The following is a 21,199-nucleotide window of genomic DNA, read 5'->3' as shown; positions in this document are numbered from 1 at the left end:
TAACCACATTCCAAGTGCTCAGATAACTATTAGTGTATGTGACTAGTGGTTAACATGGGACAGTGCAAAGGCAGAACACATCCATTGCTTCTGGAAGTTCAGTGAGACAGTGCTGGTCTATGACTGGGTTGGCAAACTTCTTAAAGGGCCAGATAGTAGGTGTTTTAGCCTTTATTGACCACAAGGTCTCTGTCACAACTACTCAAGTCTGCTGTTGTAGTGTGAAAGCAGCCATAGAAAATACATACATGAATAGGCACGGCTGTTGCTAGGGTCTGAATGTTTGTGTCCCCACAAGATTCATGTGTTGAAATCCTAACCACAAAGTGATGGTATTAGGATATGGGAATTTGGGGAGGTGATTGGGTCATGAAGGTGAAGTCTTCAAGAATAGGATTAGTGCCCTTATAAAAGAAGCCTGAGAGACTCTTGCCCTTCTACCATGTGCGGACACAGCGAGAAGGCACCACATATGAGCCAGAAAGCGGGTCCTCACCAGACATCAGACTACCTTGATCTTAAACTTTCCAGCCTCCAGAACTGTAAGAAATAAATTTCTGTTGTTTAGAAGCCACTCTGTTTATGGTATTTTGTTATAGCAGCCTGAATGAACCTAAGACTGCTGTATTCCAAAACAACTTTATTTTAAGAAAACAAGTGGGGCTGTAGTTTGCTGACCCTGCTCTTAGGCATTAGAGTATCAGAATAAACAGCACCTAAACATAGGAACTCTTCCTAGGCAAAAAAGTTGATGTAATGTGACTAGTTATCTTGGAACACAATTAGTATTTCACATAATACTATCATAAGAAAATTAAAAGTGGAAATTATCATCATAAAAAGGAGACAAGCTGTTCTTTGGGAACAACATGGCTTTGTTGGAGTGCTCCGCCAGACTTGTGTTCACTTGTTTATCATTAATAATAGTCTCCTGGGCCGGGCGTGGTGGCTCATGCCTGTAATCCTAGCACTTTGGGAGGCCAAGGCGGGTGGATCACGAGGTCAGGAGATCGAGACCATCCTGGCTAACACGGTGAAACCCCATCTCTACTAAAAATACAAAAAATTAGCTGCGCATGGTGGTGGACGTCTGTAGTCCCAGCTACTCAGGAGGCTGAGGCAGGAGAATGGCGTGAACTCAGGAGGCAGAGCTTGCAGTGAGCAGAGATCGTGCCACTATACTCCAGCCTGGGCAACAAAGCAAGACTCCGTCTCAAAAAAAAAAAAAAAAAAAAAATAATAATAATAATAATAATAGTCTCCTGGGCTATAATTAACTTACATTTATTTTGGTTCTTCTTAAACACCATCATATTCTGATTCTGTGTTTTGCCTATCATAATCCTTGATGATAATAAGGGGAGGACACTCCCACAGAAACACTCTGCTGGAGACAGTGCTGCTGGTGGCATGAAAAGAAAGGCAAAAGCTAAACATCATCACCTTCAAGGAAACAAGAAGACATGTGATACCACTGGTTCCAGTGAGCTTAAAGAGGTTGTGTTACATACTAATAAAAATCATGCTGGGCCAGGCGCAGTGGCTCACGCCTGTAATCCCAGCTCTTTGGGAGGCCGAGGCGGTGGATCACTTGAGGTCAGGAGTTCAAGGTCAGCCTGGCCAATGTAGTGAAACTCTGTCTCTACTAAAAATACAAAAATTAGCTGGGCATGGTGGCGCATGCCTGTAATCCCAGCTACTTGGGAGGCTGAGGCAGGAGAATTGCTTGAACCTGGGAGGTGGTGGTTGCAGTGAGCTGAGATTGCACCACTGTACTCCAGCCTGGGTGACAGACCGAGACTCTGTCTAAAAACAAAACAAAACAACCTCCCCCCACCCCACACACACACACAAAATCCTGGTAAAATTATGCTGGAACAAATGGAAATGCAAGTGGAATTTCAAACTCAAGCAAATGGTGATAGCACAGACGGTAGCTTACTTCTTACGTAAAGAGCATTCAAAACTATTCAGATCTTATTTTTACATGTTTGGATCCATCAATCTCTTATTTTTACCTATCAAATATATACACTTGCAAATAATATACAGTTAGAGCGTTATTGTTGAAACTTTTGTTATTATAAATCTGAAGCTTGGCCAGGTGCGGTGGCTCATGCCAGTAATCCCAGCACTTTGGGAGGCCAATGCGGGCAGATCACCTGAGGCCAGGAGTTCAAGACCAGCCTGGCCAATATGGCAACCCCATCTCTACCAAAAATACAAAAATTAGCCAGGTGTGTCTGAGGCAGAAGAATCTCTTGGACCCAGGAGGCGGAGACTGCGTTGAGCTGAGATTGCACCACTACACTCCAGCCTGGGTGACAGAGCAAGACTCCATCTCAAATATTTTTAAAAATCTGAAGCTATCTACCTATAGTCCTATTTTTCTCATTCAAACAAGTTTTTTTTTTTTTTTTTTGAGACAGGTTTTCACTATGCTGCCCATCCTGGGCTCAAGTGATACCCCGCTTCAGCCTCCCAAAGCGCTGGGATTACAGGCATGAACCACACGCCTGGCCCCCTTTGAAACAAGTTTTAACATGGCTTTTGATAATATGAGTTGTTTTCATTTCAGGAAGTACAACACTGTGTTATAGCAGAGAAGACTGCATGACTTTAAACATCACTACACAATGTACCCTCTATTAAATATAAAGCATTTTGTCAATAAGGAAAGCTATTGCAATATATTTTGAGAATTGGAGGGCTTTAGATAATTGACAACTCTGCCATGCAAATTTGCCAAATCTTTACATCATCTACTATAGACTGTACACTACTTTTGCTTTAAGTTCTGCAGAAAAACAAGTCCTGAAATCCTTCTGGGTTCACTATTTGAGTCCCATTACTCTTACAGAGGAAGTTTTCCCAACTGCTAATCAAAATTTCACCTATTACTACTTTACAAGATCATTCTTGAAACAATTGTTGGTAGTAAAAGGTGCAACTTTGTGGAAAATACCAGTGCTTTCTTTCATGAACACATATATTTGTATTAAGAAAGAGTGTATCAAATACCAAGGAAAAAAGTTCCATTTCCTTAGCAGAGTCCCAGAGCTCTTCTACGTCATATGGGATACTGAAATGGGAGAGCAGGAGCTTCAGCTGAGGTTTCAGTTCTCCTGTTTCTGTTGCATGTTGGGGGAGGACAAAAGCAGCTTCTGTTCTCATTGGCCCTGAGGAAAACCAAAATCAAGAGCATTAAGACCAATGAATACTGTCAGGGAGAGAAAATGGAGAGTCCTTTGAGACAGGTAGAAGTAGGAGCTCCTCTACTGATGGGATGCCCATTCTGCTCCTTTCCCAACATTTTCTGCCACAATTTATAGTCTGCACCCTACTTGGCCAGGTGGATCTGACAAATCCTTGGAGCTGGGCTTTTGTAGGAGGCAGCAAGGACTCCTTGCCATCTCACAGCCTACAGGAGAAACCCAACAGACCTTTTAGGGAATGACTTGGAGCAGAATTGCCTATAGTCCTTTCTGGTAAATGAAGAACATTATTTATAAATTTATCCAACAAATTAGAAGAAGGTGAGAGCCTTCAGCTGTTTTCACATGGCTAACTCCCCCTCATCTCTAAGGACCCAGTTTGGACTCCCCTCCTTCAAGAAGCCTTCTCAGATGCCCCACAACCAGGGTTGGCTGCCTCTCCCAGGCATTCCCGGGACACTCTGTGCATCCAAGCAAGAATGTCACTCAGAGTAGAAATCTTATCAGGTTTCTTAGTCATCTGTAACACAAGGCAAGGGCAGGAAAACTGCATTAATTTTATTCAGATGAAGAAATTATTTTAGATTTGTGTAATATGAAAACTGGAAGGAGCCTTAGAGATCACTGATTCTCAAAGGTTTGTTATGGAGATGACCAAATTGAGGCCAAAGGAGATAAAATGCAGGCCCACAGTGAGGCCAGGACAGGAACAAGCCTAGAGCCCAGTACTGCTGACTTCAAGTCCATTTTTTTCTCTCACTCTTAACTTGCTAATTATAAAGACGGAGATTAAAACATGTCTTAAAAATTGTTTGTTATTTTTTCCAGTCTGAAAATATTAAACTAAGACTTATTTATTAAGGAGATAAAAATTTTGGTATATAGAACAATTTTTAGCAAGAACATGGGACAACCAGCATAAGTCTAAAATTACAATCTTCTTTGCTCCACATTACCCGAGGGGAAAGAAGACTAATTTCTTACCAGAAATGCTGGTATCCACAGGGTCAGGAGATGCAGAACCCTGAATGTCAGGGTCAATGTCATTGACACAGACATTTTCATTTTTCTGACCAGCTTCAGCGACTCGGTTGAAAGCTACACTCAGCACTTTGGAGATGGGCAAATACTGGAGGGCCTATAGAAGGGCAAGACCAAGAGGCCAAACATCAATACAGTTCTCACAGAAGCTTCCAGACTCAGGTTCAGGAGCAGCCCTTTGCTTTGGGAGAGAAGAAAAGAAGTAGAAGTGGAGCCTCAGTAACCTGCCCAATGATAAGGGGCTACATTTGGAGCTCGGAGACCTAGTACTGTTACTGACTCTGAGTGGCCTTAACCTCCAAACAGGTCTACTTTGATCAAGGACCCAAAATGGACAAGGCACTGTGTGGGGTGCTAGGGAGACAAAGAGGAATAAGACAGGATACAACCTCAAAGAGCTCACGGTTTACTAAAGACCCAGACTTATAAGCAGATCGTTATAACACCATGTGACTGGTGAGAAATGTATCAGAGGAAGTGCCCATAGTGGCTGGCTGGGTGCGGGGAAAGGACGAAGCCAGTTTCCGATTTGGGCAATTCCATGTATGATGGTGTCTCTGAGCTAAGGCAGAGAGAAGTAGGAAAAGATATGGGTAGAAAAACAATAATCTTTCCAAAATGGAAATGTGATCATGTTACTCCTTTCTGATGCCTCTAGCCTGACTTAGAGCCTCTCTGTGACTCTCTTTACCCTATGCTTACACTTATCCTGTTCTTTTTTACCCCGTTGTATTTCAGTTGAATATTTACTTACCCATATCCCTACCAGCCGAGAACCCAGTTACTTTTCAGCAAAGGCCGTATCTTTGCTGCATGCCTAGGACAAGTACCTGGCACATATTAGACCCTCATTAAACATCACCTAATATTTAAAAAGTGGATCTAAATCAGAGAGCATAGATCCTGAACAAGATGATGAAGACAAGAACTTACAGAGTGAATATGAAATAGTACAACAGAGTCATCTTTGAGAAAGCTAAATTATTTCAGTAGAATAAAGTTTCAAAAGAGAAAGATGTCTAAGGTTTCAAAGAAGAAATCCAGTGACCCATTATGTTTCTGTCATTTGTAGGGCAGGTGGAGTCCTGAAACAGTGACAATCTAAAACTAAGTGACAGATGTGAGAAAACAATGTACTGATCATCCCTAGAAGGGTGCCACATCATCACATCACTGTGTTTCACATACCTGCAGGTACTGGTGAACAGTCCCAAGAGAGTGCAGGTGGCACACTAACCACTTTGTGTAAATAGTCAGATCTTCCTGTGTCACCAAGTTAGGAGGATTGTTTTTTCCCATGAGGAAGTTTTCTCGAGCAACAGACAATCTTTCAGCTCTCTGAAGGGTGTCATTGTACTCCTGCATAATGTAGCCAACTTGTTTCTGTTTAAGAGAGATACAAAGATAGAACTTGGTTATTTGCAAGCCTTATGCTCTGTATCATTTGCTTCCAAGCATAGGGTAATGTTGTTTTGGGTCTAAATAAAGGAGTTCTTTGAATCCCAAAGTTCTTCCATATTCTGAATTTGACTTATAAGGACAGTGGTCATATTCTTAGGACTTTGAAGGAGACAGACTCCAAGCAAAGAGTCAGTGCATAGGGATACTTATAACTGGAGTCGCTTCTGAACTTTTTACGTAAAGCTGAGGAAGCTAAGTCTGTGAAGAAAAATGCATTTCCTCTCATACAAAACTTCCTTCAAATTTTATTCTTAAGAATAGATTACCTTTACCATTACCTTCTGCCATAGGTAGAACAGGCAAGAAGGCACATCCATTAGTTTCTTTTCTATCTTTAGCTGTGACTTTTAAAAATATAAAAAAATAGCCCAGAGGTTCTGTTCATAGACTTCCTACCTTGTAAAGAGGATAAAGTTGCTCCATGATCTTACTGTGTTGGCAAAACCTCTTCCACCTAAGCATGTGTAAATATTTACTCTGGGCCAGCTGGGCAATTCTCTCTGTGTAATACTTTAACAACAAGAAAAATAAGCACTTAGAGAAGGAAGATTGAATAAAGTCTTAAGAACACTAACGAGGAAAATCAGTCTCTGGTTGTTTTGGAAAGATGCATTTTTCTTTCTTTCTTTCTTTTTTTTTTTTTTTTTTGAGACGGAGTCTTGCTCTCTTGCCCAGGCTGGAGTGCAGTGGCACGATCTCAGCTCACGGCAAGCTCTGCCTCCCGGATTCATGCCATTCTCCTGCCTCAGCCTCCTGAGTAGCTGGGACTACAGGCGCCTGCCACCACGCCCAGCTAATTTTTTGTATTTTTAGTAGAGACGGGGTTTCACCGTGTTAGCCAGGATGGTCTCGATCTCCTGACCTCGTGATCCGCCTGCCTCGGCCTCCCAAAGTGCTGGGATTACAGGCGTAAGCCACTGTGCCCAGCCGGAAAGATGTATTTTTCTATATGAAGACCATAACATTAAGAAGTCTGGCTCGGCCGGGCGTGGTAGCTCACGCCTGTAACCCCAGCACTTTGGGAAGCCAAGGCGGGTGGATCACCTGAGGTCAGGAGTTCGAGACCAGCCTGGCCAACATAGTGAAACCCCATCTCTACTAAAAATACAAAAAATTAGCTGGGCATGGTGGCGGGTGCCTATAATCTCAGCTACTCGAGAGGCTGATGCTGGAGAATTGCTTGAACCTGGGAGGCAGAGGTTGCAGTGAGCAGAGGTTGCAGTGAGCCGAGATCGCACCATTGCACTCCAGCCTGGGCAACAAGAGTGAAACTCTATCTCAAAAAGACAAAAAAAGAGAAGTCTGGCTCAAGATAGTATTCAAATTGAAATAAAGTGAGTAGACATTTCTAAGTCTTTATGATCTGTTACCAAGTCAATAGATTTAAGCTAATTTCTCAGTTACCAAACAATTTTAGCAGTGACATAAAAGTCTGTCAAGTAATCTAAAGCTGAGCCTAAAATTTTTTATTAAAAACTGAACTTATGAGTCAAAAATACAGAGTACATTACAGGTAAGATTATAGCTTTTAACCTCAGATCAGAAATTTTATTTATACTTAAAAACAGTTAATTCTTTTAAAGATTTTCTTTCTGATAATAAAAATAATACTGGCTGTGATGGAATAACCAGAACCAGACTTACCCTTCTATCATAAACAACTAGAAAATTGGACACAATATACAAGGTAACTGTTTTCTGACACTGGACAATGGGCAATGCAGGACTCTGGTCCCTGAGAGAAGGAAACAAATCATGTAGGCCCTGCAATCACCTTAGTTTCATACCAGAAGGCAGTTTCTGAGCCATGGAGCAAGAAAGGGAATCCTAAGCAGAGTAGATGATCTCTCTGAGTTAAAGAAAGAGAAACTGAAATTTGGAAAATTGAGTCAGCTGATGTTTGCAGGAGAGAAGGAAGCCATGCAAAGAAGGGATTCTAGAAATCTGCATCAAGATCCCTTTCAGTCTGTTGCTGAATACTAAGCCATGCATGTAAAAGGTGAAACTCCAGGAGGCTGTCCAAAGAATAACTGACTAGGGAATTGTAAACTGAACAGTTCCGAGTTCATATGAGGCTGAGAGTTGTTCAAGTCCAACCAGCTAGAGTGAGGGCTTTTCACTAAATATCTGGGACATTTAGTAGAGACATCAAAAGCTTTAGTAAAAGGATAAACTATGCCTAGAGTAATGATTATTCTAAACCTGCTCTAACAATCCTTCAGCCTTGAAAGGATTAAGCTGATCTGTAAGTAACTTAACTGCCTACCAGAATAAAGTCCAATAAGCTCTAAATAATACAAAAAATCTGGTACTTAATAATGAAAAATTGACAATTTTCAGCATTCAATAAAAAATTACTAGACATGCAAAGAAAAGAGGAAAGCATGATCCAAAAGCAAAAGAAAAATTAGGGATGAGAAACAGGCTCAGAAATGACAGAGGTGAAGAAAGTTACCAACAAGAACTTTTTTTTTATTTTTATTTTTTTGAGACGGAGTCTTGCTCTGTCGCCCAGGCTGGAGTGCAGTGGCATGATCTTGGCTCACTGCAAGCTCCGCCTCCCAGGTTCACGCCATTCTCCTGCCTCAGCCTCCCGAGTAGCTGGGACTACAGGCGCCCGCCACCATGCCCGGCTAATTTTTTGTATTTTTAGTAGAGACAGGGTTTCACCGTGTTTGCCACGATGGTCTCGATCTCCTGACCTCATGATCTGCCTGCCTCGGCCTCCCAAAGTGCTGGGATTACAGGCGTGAGCCACCGTGCCTGGCCCCAACAAGACCTTTTAAAGAACTATTGTAAATATGCTCAGCATGCTCAAGGATTGAAAGGAAAATGTGAACATAGGCTGATCAGGGTGGCTTATGCCTGTAATCCCAGCACTTTGGGAGGCTGAGGTGGGCGGATCACTTGAGGCCAGGAATTTGAGACGAGCCTAGCCAACATAGCGAAACCCTGTCTTTACTAAAAATACAAAAATTAGCTAGCTGTTGTGGTGTGTGCCTGTAATCCCAGCTTGGGAGGCTGAGGCACAAGAATCAGTTGAACCCAAGAGGCAGAGTTTGCAGTGAGCTGAAATCAAGCCACTGCACTCCAGCCTGGGCAACAGAGTGAGATGAGACTCCGTCTCAAAAAAAATTTAAAAAAGAATAAGAAAAGAAATGTGAACATAATGAGGAAATAAATGGAAAATATCAAAACAAATCAAATGGGAACTTCTAGAAATGAAAAATGCAATATCTGAAATAAAATACTGACTGGATGGGATTAAAGTAGATTAGACAGTGCATAAGAAAAGGCTGATAAATTTGAAGACATAGCAACAGGAACTATGTCAAATGAGGCACTGAGGGGGGAAAAAGACTGAAGAAAATTAGTAGTCTTAATGATCTATGAAACAATATGAAGTATTTAACAAATGTGTAACTGGATTCCCAGAAGGAGAAGTGCAGGCAGAAAATATATTTGAAAAAATAATGGTTGAAGTTTTTTAAAAACTGATGAAAACAATAAACCCACAATCCAAGAAGCTCAACCAACCCCAAGCAAGAAAAACGCAAAGAAAACTTCAACATGCATCATAATAAAATATCTAAAAACCATTAAGAAAAAATCTTAAAAGCAGCCAGAAATAAAAAGATATGCTATGATCAGAAATGGAAACTATGTACATCCATAAAAAAGAATGAAATCATGTCATTTGCAGCAACATGGATGCAGCTAGAGGCCATTAGCCTAAGTGAATTAATGCAGAAATAGAAACCCAAATATCGCATGTTCTCACTTATAAGCGGGAGCTAAATTTTGGGTACATATGGACATAAAGATGGGAACAATAGAAACTGGGAACTACTAGAGAGGGGAGGGAGTGAAGGGGAGTAGGGGTTGAAAAACTACCTATTGCATACCATGCTCACTACCTGGGTGACGAGATCAATTGTACCTCAATCCACAGGCTTACGCAATATACCCAGGCAACAAACCTGCATATGTGCCCCCTGAATCTAAAATAAAAGTTGAAATTATTTAAAAAAGAATAAAATATCAAAAAAAGAAAGTTACTTTGGATTTTGTGGATAATTTAGGTTTTAATGTGCCTGTGAAATGCAAAGACTTTTGCTGGTCAATGCCAGTGACCAAGACGAACCATGGAAACATTACGTATTAGTCAGTTCTCATAATGCTAATAAAGATATACCCAAGAATGGGTAATTTATAAAGAAAAAGAGGTTTAATGGACCCACAGTTCTACATGGCTGGGGAGGCCTCACAATCAAGAGAGAAGGCAAAAGAGGAGAAAGGCACATCTTACATGGTGGCAGGCAAGAGGACATGTGCAGGGGAATGCCCCTTTATAAAACCATCAGATCTCATGAGACTTATTCACTATCATGAGAACAGCATGGGAAAGACACACCCCCATGATTCAATTACCTCCCACTGTGTCCCTCCCATGACACATGGGAATTATGGGAGCTACAATTCAAGATGAGATGTGGCTGAGGATATGAGCCAAACCATATCATTCAGCCCCTGGTGCCTCCTAAATTTCATGTCCTCACAATTCAAAACCAATCATGCCTTCCCAACAGTCCCCCAAAGTCTTAACTCATTTCAGCATTAACTCAAATGTCCACAGTCCAAAGTCTCACCTGAGACAAGGCAAGTGCCTTCTGCCTATGAGCCTGTAAAATCAAAAGCAAGTTAGTTACTACCCAGATGCAATGGAGGTACAGGCATTGGGTAAATATACCCATTCCAAATAGGAGGAATTGACCAAAACAAAGGGGTTACAGGCCCCATGCAAATCTGAAATCCAGCAGGGCAGTCAAATCTTAAAGCTCCAAAATGATCTCTTTTGACTCCATGACTCACATCCAGGTCACGCTGATGCCAGAGGTGCATTCCCATGGTCTTGAGCAGCTTTGCCCCTGTGGCTTTGCAAGGTACAGTCCCCACTCCTGACTGCTTTCATGGGGTGGCGTTGAGTGTCTGCAGCTTTTCCAGGTGCACGGTGAAAGCTGTCAGTGGATCTACCATTCTGGGGTCTGGAGGATGGTGGCCCTCTTCTCACAGCTCCACTAGGCAGTGCCCCAGTGGGGACCCCATATAGGGGCTCCCACCCCACATTTCCCTTCCACACTGCCCTAGCAGAGGTTCTCCATGAGGGCTCTGCCCTGCAGCAAACTTTTGCCTGGACACCCAGGCATTTCCACACATCATCTGAAATCTAGGTGGAGGTTCCCAAACCTCAGTTCTTGACTTCTGTGCACCTGCAGGCTCAACACCATGTGGAAGCTGCTAAGGCTTGGGGCTTGCACCCTCTGAAGCAATGGCCTGAGCTCTACATTGACCATTTTTAGCCATGGCTGGGACTCAGGACACCAAGTTCTGAGACTGCACAAAGCAGCAAGGCCCTGGGCCCAGCCCAGGAAACCATTTTTTCCTCCTAGGCCTCCAGGCCTGTGATGGGAGGGGCTGCTATGAAGACTTCTGACATGCCCAGAAGACATTTTCCCCATTGCCTTGCTGATTAACATTTGGTTCCTTGTTATTTATACAAATTTCTGCAGCTAGCTTGAATTTCTCCTCAGAAAATGGGTTTTTCTTTTCTATCACATCATCAGGCTGCAAGTTTTCTGAACTTTTATGCTCTGCTTCCCTTTTAAATGTAAGTTCCAATTCCAAACCATAACTTTGCAAATCCATAAAACTGAGTGCTTTTGACAGCACCCAATTCACTTCTTGAATGCTTTGCTGCTTACAAATTTCTTTGGTCAGATGCCCTAAATCATCTCTCTCAAGTTCAAAGTTCCACAAATCTCTAGGGCAAGGGCAAAATGCTGCCAGTCTCTTTGCTAAAACATAGCAAGAGTCACCTTTGCTCCAGTTCCCAATAAGTTCCTCATCTCTATCTGAGACCACCTCAGGCTGGACTTTATTGTCCACATCACTATCAGCATTTTGGTCAAAGCCATTCAACAAGTCTCTGGGAAGTTTCAAACTTTCCCACGTCTTCCTTTCTTCTTCTGAGCCCTCCAAACTGTCCTAACCTCTGCCTGTTACCCAGTTCCAAAGTTGCTTCCACATTTTCAGGTATCTTTAGAGCAGTACCCCATTCTAACAGTATAAATTTACTGTATCAGTCCATTCTCGTGCTGCTAATAAAGACATACATGAGACTGGGTAATTTATAAAGGAAAGAGGTTTAATTGACTCACAGTTCCACATGGCTGGGGAGGCCTCACAATCATGGCAGAGGACGAAGGAAGAGCAAAGGGACACCTTATGTGGTGGCAGGCAAGAGGACATGTGCAGGGGAACACTCCTTTATAAAACCATCAGATCTGTGAGACTTATTATCATGAGAACAGCATGGGAAAGACCCACCGCCATGATTCCATTACCTCCCACCGAGTCCCTCTCATGACACATGGGAATTATGGGAGCTACAATTCAAGTTGAGATTTGGGTGGGGACACAGCCAAACCATATCACATTAGTTCAAGTAAGCAAATGGTGAGAGGCTGACAGAAAAAAAAAATCACTTAAATTAGTGAAGTGCTCTTTCCTGTTATGATATATATTTGAGTTTCCTTTTAGCTTATGAATAAACATGTGTACTTACATATAGTAGTGATAAAAATTCAAACTATTCCACAGTTCTATTTTAAAATGGCATGTTTTATATTTTTTGTATAATTAATCTTAATTGCAAAAATGTGTATACTTAATGAAAATAAAGCTGTCACCTAAGAAAAAGAAAGAAAGAAAGAGAAACTATGTAAGACAAAAGAGAAAAGACAATGGAGCAGTATTTTAAAGCAATAAAAAATCACCAAACCAGAATTCTATGCTGAACAAAAATATCTTTCCAAAATGAAGGGGAAATACTTCTTTCAAAATAACAAAGACTGAGAATTTGTCCCTTGCAGACCTGAACTACTAGAAATGCTAAAGAAAATTCTTCAGAGAGAAGGCAAATTATGTCCTATGGAAGTTTAGATAATACTAGAGTTTCTCAACCTCAGCAGCTATTGACATTGGGGACTACATAATTCTTCATTGTGAGAGGCTGCCTTGTGCATTGTAGAATGTTTAGCAGCATCCTTGGCCTCTACTCACTTAATGCTAGTAGCAACCAATCATACCCCTCACCCAAATTATGACAACAAGAAATATCCCCAGACATTTCCAAATGTCCCTTGGGGCACAAAATATCTTCTATCTCTACCCCTCTTCTCTGTCCCTTGAGAAACACTGATATACACAAAAGAATGAAAAATGCCAGAAATGATAGGGAAAGATAATCCTGAATGAAGACAATGATGACAATTTGACTTGCAAATAGTATCTCAATATCTTTTGTTTCTTTGTGATTAATGTAATAGTTAATTCCTAACTAGTTGCTAAAGAACTAATTTGTATGCATAGGTAAGATATAACTTGTAACACAGGAATAGAGAACAAGGAATTTTAAAATCAAAATAATATATACTTATTATAGAAAATTTAGCAAACATATAAAAGTAAAAAGGGGAACTTCATTATCCTGCCATCCAAACATAACATTCATTAGCATTTGGTCTAAGTCCTTCAAGTGATTTTTTTTCTATACATACTTGACCATTATGACACACATACATACACACATTAGTTTTTATTAACTAATATTTCATATATAATAATTCCTTATGCTAATGTTAAAAGAAAAACTTTAGACAAATTAAATTTAACAGAGTTTAATTAAGTAAAGAACAATTCATGAATTGGGCAGCCCTCCTAGCCCCCCAACCAGAGTAAGTTCAGAGAGACTCCAGCACTGCTGCACAGTGAAAGAGGATTTATGGACAGAAGAAGGAAAGTGAAGTAACAGAAAAGAGATGTGAGGTACAGAAACAGTCAGATTGGTTACAGCTCAGTGTTTGCCTTATTTGAACACACTTTGAACAGTTGGCTGCCTGCAAGTGGCTGAAGTATGGCTTCTGTGATTGGCTGAGACTCAGTTACTTGTTACAAGAGTAGGTTATGGTCTATTTACAGTCCAGTTAGGTTACACGTCACTATGTAGGGAGAAACCTTACCAAGGGTTCTGAACTTAAAATGAGGCAGCTTTAAGCTAAACTTAATTTAACAATAAAAAATGTTTAATGGCAGAACAATATTCTACCATGTACCGTACTGTTTTTCTTAACTCTTTCTCTTATTGGTGGATATTCAGGCAATCCTAATGTTTTACTTTTATTATAATGCTGCAATAATAATCTTTATGGAAAACTCTTTTTCCCATGTCTTGAGTTATTTTCTTAATAGAAATTTCCAGGGCTTGGCACAGTGGCATACACCTGTAATCCCAGCACTTTGGGAGGCCAAGACTGGAGTGCAGTCGCTTGATCTGAGCTCTCAGCAACCTCTGCCTCCCAGGTTCAAGCGATTCTTCTGCCTCAGCCTACTGAGTAGCTGGGACTACAGGCATGCGCCACCATGCCCAGCTAATTTTTCTATTTTTAGTAGAGACGGGGTTTCACCATATTGGCCAGGCTGGTCTTGAACTCCTAACCTCAAGTGATCTGCCTGCCTCGGCCTCCCAAAGGGCTGGGATCACAGGCATGAGCCACCATGCCTGGCCACAGCCAATAGCTTTTTAAGGGCTAGAACTGTCCTAGTCAATGTGGTATTGCCCTACATTATCGACACAGAAAGTACTTAGCAGAAATTCAGTCAATTGTTCCGTGCCTTTAAGCTGAATTTAAAACTGTGAAATAGATCTCTAACAAAGAACAGCGTTTACACTAGCCAAGTTCTGCAAACTATACATGTCGAGAAAAACAAAACCTACCCTAGCGAAAGGATATTCCTGAAAGCCAGTTTGCCCATACATTTCTACTAATTTCAAATGAATTTTTCAAATTGCAGTATCACTCTTACCTGCAACAGAAGCAAAGGTAAATTTTCAGGGGTGTACTCCCTTCTTAGGCAGCTCTCTAGCTCCCTCTGCACGGCATCTGCCTGAACAACAAGGGGCTTCGACTCGGCCACCTAAACCCAAATAACTAGTTTTAACATCCCAAATTAAAGAACTGTAAAATTTCAAATATCACAAAATCAGACATTTCCAAGGAAATAATGGTCTGCTCTGATTCAGTGGTAAGCTGAATAGTGGACTGTTCTCATAAATACTGTTAATAGCATCAGCTGTTTGTCTGCAAAAATACTGTTTCTGCTAAAAGTTACCAGTCAGCAAAATCAAACTTATTGTCATATTGAAATAGCCCACTGTCTTACTCACCTGTAAGGTTTTCTTCAGTGCTAGTTCCCTCTCTCTTCTAAAGTAATAAATATCCTTTGGCATTTGAATAGAGCTGCAGAAAGATTTATGCAATATAAGTGGTAATTACAGAAGCTGTAATCGACCAGATTATAGATAGACCATGATTAATCTGTAACTCTTCACAACTGCTCATTTCTGAATAAGTATATCATATTATACTGGATTATTGAGGGCACGCAAAGGCCACATCCTTTTGTTTTGGTTAGAATCTTTCTTGATTCTTCTTTGATTAGCATGTTTGCTAAACTTTTCCCTGGGCCAATTTTTCTCTCCCCTCCCCAAACAAACAGAGTATTTCGTTCTACCCTTGATTCACTTCACTATTTCCTACTGCAGAATAAAGGGAGGGACACAATGGTGAGGATTTTTATTTCCCCACCTGAATTCCCTCCAGCAACCTTATCTCTGACAAATATTGTGCCTCTCAGATCCCATTTTCACCCTAGTTGGCACATAAAACCAGTATCGTGTAATTTAAAATAAAATGCTTTTATTTTTGTGTTCTTGATGAATTATCTGCTGGGGGGTGGGAATGACTCTTAAATATCAAACATGAAATACTTCAGGAATCATTTTAACCAAACTTAATGCTTCAGGAAAATTATTGATTCGTAGGAAAAACATTTATAGCAGAAGTGCCTGTTTAAGCAGCCTTGTGGATTCCTGTTCACACCCACTGATGAGGGACCTGTTGTTTTTACCATGGACTCTGATACAAGGAGGCACAAGCTGTGGGGTCACCTGGTAAGGGGGTGGACCCTGGGTCAGGAACAGCAGAGTGCTCCACATTTGGGATAAGATATATCCCAAGGTTTGGCAGCTTTGAAAACATCAGGAAACAGCAACCCTGATGCAGACATCACTTTCTCAAGATAGTATTTTGCAGACATTGGTAAGGGGCCACAGCAGGTAGTCTGGAACACAGGTGAGAGACCACCTAGAGATTATGCAGGAGGTGTAAGCAGTGACATTTAGGTTATTATTGTTCATATGGCCTATGAGTTCCCAGATAAGTTTTAAGGGAAGATAAAAATACACTGTTAGTTTGTACACTTGCCAGCAATTTCCCCCACTGCAGGCAGTGGTTCTGTGAAAAGAACCCCAGGCTGACAGTCAAGAAATCCATCAGTCAAGTGAGCCTAAGCAACCCATTTAGACACATTGTGTCAAATTTCCACCCCTGAAGTTGGAGATAATGCCCCTCTTATCTCCTAATATCTTCGCTTTAATGGAAAAAGAAAAAGAGGTGAGCTCTGAAAGGGATTTGAGAATAAAACCGGTAATAAACCTGAGGTATAATTTCTGTCATTCTGAATCCTGGCTGCAGCCTTGTGGCGGTGGGGAATGAGTAACCAACCAGAAAAGGGATCAGCTATTACTAGGCAGCTAGAGAAACACAAGAAACTTTCCCCTGCCCTCTTGTCTTCTTATCTTTGGCATACTGGGAGATGGGGAGGGTCATGGGCTTAGCTACCCAGCCCTCTCTCACTCAGATCTTGTCTTTCCTCTCAGTTAGCCTCAAAGTGCCTGTGAATGACCCTGAAGAGACTGGTGAACATAAGTAGTGTGTACATCAACCTGCAAAAAGAGATTTACTCATACGTTCATCAAGCATTGTTCATTCAACATACATTCATTCATTTATTCATTCAGCAAGAATTTATGAAACACTTAACCACTGCAAAGTCTTGGGTTTGTGGAGTAAAACAAGGGAAAGGATGCAAAAAAAACGGGGGGGGGGGGGCGGAAATGTTTAAGACACACAGTTCTTCTCCAAGCCTCAATAGATTTTTCAATCTAGTGGAATGAGAATGTTAAAGTGATTATCAGGAGTGGATATTTCCATGTTCCTTGGACTCTAGAACCTAGCACAGCACCTGGAAAACAGAAGGTGCTCAAGAAGTATTTGTTAGGTGCAGTGTTGGGTGATTTGGGGGAGTAGACAAATAAGGCTATCCAGGATTTCCCATCACTCGATTCTAAGAGACATCAGAAAGCCTTTCTTATCCCAGTGTACACTGGGGAGTCACTTGCCTGACATTCTGACATTTAAATCATAATAATATCAACACTCCATCTTTGCATTGTGTTTTCTAGTCTTAAAAATACTTTAACATGCATTATTTCATTATCCTCACAACCTTATGTAGGTAGGCAAGGTACTAACCTCATTTTTCAAATAAAGAAACCAAAATTGAGAGAAATTATGACTTGCATGGTTCCATGATCTTTCCATCTCATCACACAATCTGATTTGCTTCAGACACCTAATGGTTTTAAATACTAATTAAAAAACATATGAAATGCTGGTTCTTCAGAATTGTCTTTGGAATGAAGTACTAATTCACCTGCTTACTGCATCTTCTGACCTCTCCAAACCTCTCACCATCCACATTGTGTTTTCTCAATGATTCAACCTAACAGGGTTCTTATATTGCTCCTTTTGATCAGTTGTGGCAGTATCAGAAACAGGGATATGAAGGTCCTGGGTCCATGAGACTTGCCATTAGGGGCTGATCTGTGTCTCTTGTTTCTCTACAATAACTTGATTGCTGTTGTTGGCAGCACTTACCTATAGAAGAGCTCCTAATGAAACAGGCTGGCTGGCTTCCTGTTGTGATCTGCTCTAGAGGAGAACAGAAGCCCCTACTCAAGCCCTAGCTTACCTAACTCTCAGCAAATCAGTAACAAAAGACCCAAGGAGTTATTAACAGCAAGTTCCTACTTTGGGGGGATAGAGACTTCCACAAAGCCCCACAGGTGCAGTTAGAACTAAAACTCAACCTATAGTTACCCCTTCCTCATTTTTGTGCTAAGAATAATGCCTTGGGTGGAGATTTAAAATGCTAATGCTACATTTGATGTATGAAGAAGCATGTTGAGCCACTGTATGAGCACTAGAAACCACACCCCCCGCACCCCGCCATATGTGCCCTGATGTAACCCTTCTCTATCAAAGGATGCTATAAAACTAACGCACACACTACCCTTGGAGAGCATCTCTTTCCTTTTCCTTTCTTGGTGCTGGCTCCCTTGTGCACAACCTGAATACACTTACCTTTGCTGCTGCTCTGTTTGGTGATCTCTCTTGATTTCTATCCTGGGAGACAGCAAGAATCCAGAGTGCTGATAACACTCACAGAACATTGTTTTGCATAATGTATTACTAAGTGCCTACCATTATTTCAGCTTTTAAATTTCTCACCAACATCAAAGTCAAATTCAATTAAAATATTATTGGGTAAAATGAGATCTCCTTTCATTGAGTATGATTTGTATTATAGCTCCTGTAACTTCAAGACAATAGCATTAATTAACATGTAAAAACACTTACATTTTCCTTGGTAAGACTTTTGCTTGGATCTGTCTTAACAAATCTAGAATATAGAAAAATCTTAGAGGTAGCAATCAGGTTAGAAATGGGTACCTGAAACTGCTATTATATACTATTTATCTGAACTGGAGATAATGCCAATTGTCTATGTAAAAAGAAGAGAGGGTGCTGATGTAGATTACGGAGTGAGAGTGGGGAGTAAAGCCCCTGAAGATCACACCTTCTCAGTGCCACTATTTACCTGTAAACTCGATTAGCTGTTCCCTGAAGAGCTCCCTGCTCTTCTATCTCAGACTTCAGTTCAGTCAGTTGCACAGCCAGTTTTTTCTCCAACAGCTGGACCCTTTCTGTGGAAGTGATCTTATAAATTTCATCCATGATTTGTATTTGCTGTTTTTCTGTATCCCTGAAAAAGAGGATCACAAATCTTGATGCCCTCAGTGACCATTATCCAGCATGTTGAACTTTGTCTATCTTTGTCCAAGAAATCATGTCAACTTTGTAGAAATGCATGCATTTTGCTATTAGACTGTTGTCATTTGTGATTTAATTAACATCTAGTAAACAGTAGAGAAAAAGTAGGTTAGAATCTCCACTGGCCATGCCTTTGATTAGCCCAGTTCACCTTCAAAAACATCTCTGCTTCAGCTTTGGCTGTGGGGTTTAATAAGTGAGAATGCACCCCCCACCACCCCTCACCTCTGCAGTCTTGATAAATGTTTGTGGGGATTACACAGTAACTTCTGTGAATGGCAGTTATTGCTGACTTCTAATAGAAAATTGTACTTCCGCATTTGAATGTGTTTTCTTAATTTTGACTGCCTACATTTAGCATACCGGTTTTACCATTAAATAACAGCTGATAACCTCCCACCCCACCTCACCTGGTTCACAGTCTGTCAAATTCAACATAATTGTTTGTTAAGTACTTAGTATCAACATTCTAATTAACAATGTAGATTAACTGCATGACTCAGAAGTCCTGGGACCCATAAGTTGCAGGGGATTCAACAGATGATGTATTTCCTTGTGTTACTGCTGCCCTCACCTGTCCTGGACAAGTATGAGTTAAGTCTCTCTTAGGCCACATTAGAGAGATTTAAAATACTTAAACCTTATTTTTTTCCTGTGATATTTCTAGACTCTCATCTTTCCTTTTGAGATATTTCATTTTCTCAAGTTAATATGCTGTCATTTCAACAAATAATTAAGCTGTAGAGATGTTTTGTGTAGAGGCTTCCTTTGGGAGCCCATTTATTCTTTTTCTAAATATATGAAAAATGGAAATGAGCATCCATGTTCAGTCCAGGTTGTGAACCTGCCTAGTAATAAATCTGTCGTGTTTGGCACGCCATTGGAGCTCAATAAAATGCACTGTTATTGTTCTTAGCAAAAGTAAAATGTTGTTATAGAAAATATTTGCCATTTGGCAGTGTCCTTTCAAGTTGGGCAAACAGTTAAACAGCTGCCTTAACAGCTGCATTCCAATCGGCAGCCAAGAGTGGCAGCAACATAGACTGGCTGATTATTCTCCCAAAGGACGGACATTCTGCCTTCATTTCTTGATCAGTTTCAACACTTCACAGCTCAGAAATGAGAACATTTAATCCTGTACTGTTTAGCTTGCAACACAGTCAAGCACAGTATTCAGAAAATTAACATAAAGGGGTCAGTCTTTGACAACTGTCCATGAAATGAATCCAACCCAGAGAAATACATGCCTGCTGAGCACTCATGTCTAGGTTTAAAGAGACAACTGTTTATTTGGAGGGGTATGGGAGGTGTGCTTCATTTATTGAGAACCTACCGTGTGTCAGGCAAGCACTGGGAACTCATTTAGTCTTAGAAAAGAGATTGCGAGAAAAGAGAATTTCTTCAATCATGTTTTTAAAAATAAGTACATTTAATTATTTGTAATTCATAATTATGTATAATACATAATTTTTATGCATTTAAAACGTGGTTAAAATTTAAGACAAAAATAGTAAGATCAGCTTGAGCAAGGTTTGGGGGTGTTCAATGTGTGGTTACAGCAGGCTTGGATGGGGATAAAGCAGACACGTTTAGAAAAGAAATACTGAGTAACTATTTTAAAAGTTTCAAGGTGATGAGTAAAAGAATAGAAATGCATCTAGATGAGTTCATGTCATTTGTAGGGACATGGATGAAGCTAGAAACCGTCATTCTGAGCAAACTATCGCAAGGACAGAAAACCAAACACTGCATGTTCTCACTCGTAGGTGGGAATTGAACAATGAGAACACTTGGACACAGGGTGGGGAACTTCACACACCAGGGCCTGTCATAGGATGAGGGGAGTGGGGAGGGATAGCATTAGGAGATATACCTAATGTAAATGATGAGCTAATGGGTGCAGCACACCAACATGGCACATGTATACATATGTAACAAACCTGCACGTTGTGCACATGTACCCTAGAACTTAAAGTATAATAAAAAATAGGAAAAAATAAAAATAAAATAAAAATATCCGTACCTATTAAAAAAAAAAAAAGAAATGTATCCTAGAGCTTCCCAAAGAAGTGGGAGTAAGGGGTGAGATAGGACTTTTAAATCCAATAAACGGTGGTCCCCAACCTTTTTGGCAACAGGGATTGGTTTCATGGAAGACAATTTTTCCATGGATGGGAAGCAGCAGGTGGCCAGGCAGAGGGATGGTTTCAGGATGAAACTGCTCCACCTCAGATCATCAAGCATTAGCTAGATTCTCACAAGGAGCACGCAACCTAGATCCCTCACATGAACCATTCACAATAGGGTTCATGCTCCTATGAGACTCCAAATGCTGCTACTGATCTG

At 40.8% G+C, this 21,199-nt stretch overlaps 1 pseudogene across 1 annotated transcript in view, besides 1 other annotated feature; it reads right to left on the bottom strand.

Moving 5' to 3' along the window:
* Positions 1-21,199, bottom strand: part of CCDC162P (coiled-coil domain containing 162, pseudogene) — a 189,118-nt pseudogene that overhangs the window by 152,237 nt on the left and 15,682 nt on the right. The window contains exons 2-8 of the transcript NR_152435.1: positions 18,621-18,785; positions 15,004-15,076; positions 14,643-14,753; positions 6,114-6,227; positions 5,445-5,639; positions 4,200-4,353; positions 3,022-3,179 (exon numbers count right to left, since the gene is read on the bottom strand). The product of NR_152435.1 is annotated as a coiled-coil domain containing 162, pseudogene (transcript). The remainder of the gene's footprint in view (positions 1-3,021; positions 3,180-4,199; positions 4,354-5,444; positions 5,640-6,113; positions 6,228-14,642; positions 14,754-15,003; positions 15,077-18,620; positions 18,786-21,199) is intronic.
* Positions 8,293-8,793: an enhancer, noted in NCBI's record as "H3K4me1 hESC enhancer chr6:109515122-109515622 (GRCh37/hg19 assembly coordinates)". NCBI's record gives its function as "activates a minimal SCP1, AML or CMV promoter by ChIP-STARR-seq in primed H9 embryonic stem cells {active_cell/tissue: H9 hESC(primed)}" and the evidence as "EXISTENCE:reporter gene assay evidence [ECO:0000049][PMID:30033119]".

Source organism: Homo sapiens, chromosome 6, assembly GCF_000001405.40.
Source record: "Homo sapiens chromosome 6, GRCh38.p14 Primary Assembly".
NCBI lineage: Eukaryota > Metazoa > Chordata > Mammalia > Primates > Hominidae > Homo > Homo sapiens.
Note: the sequence above shows the minus strand (reverse complement) of the source record. Positions and strands in the feature narration are given on the sequence as shown.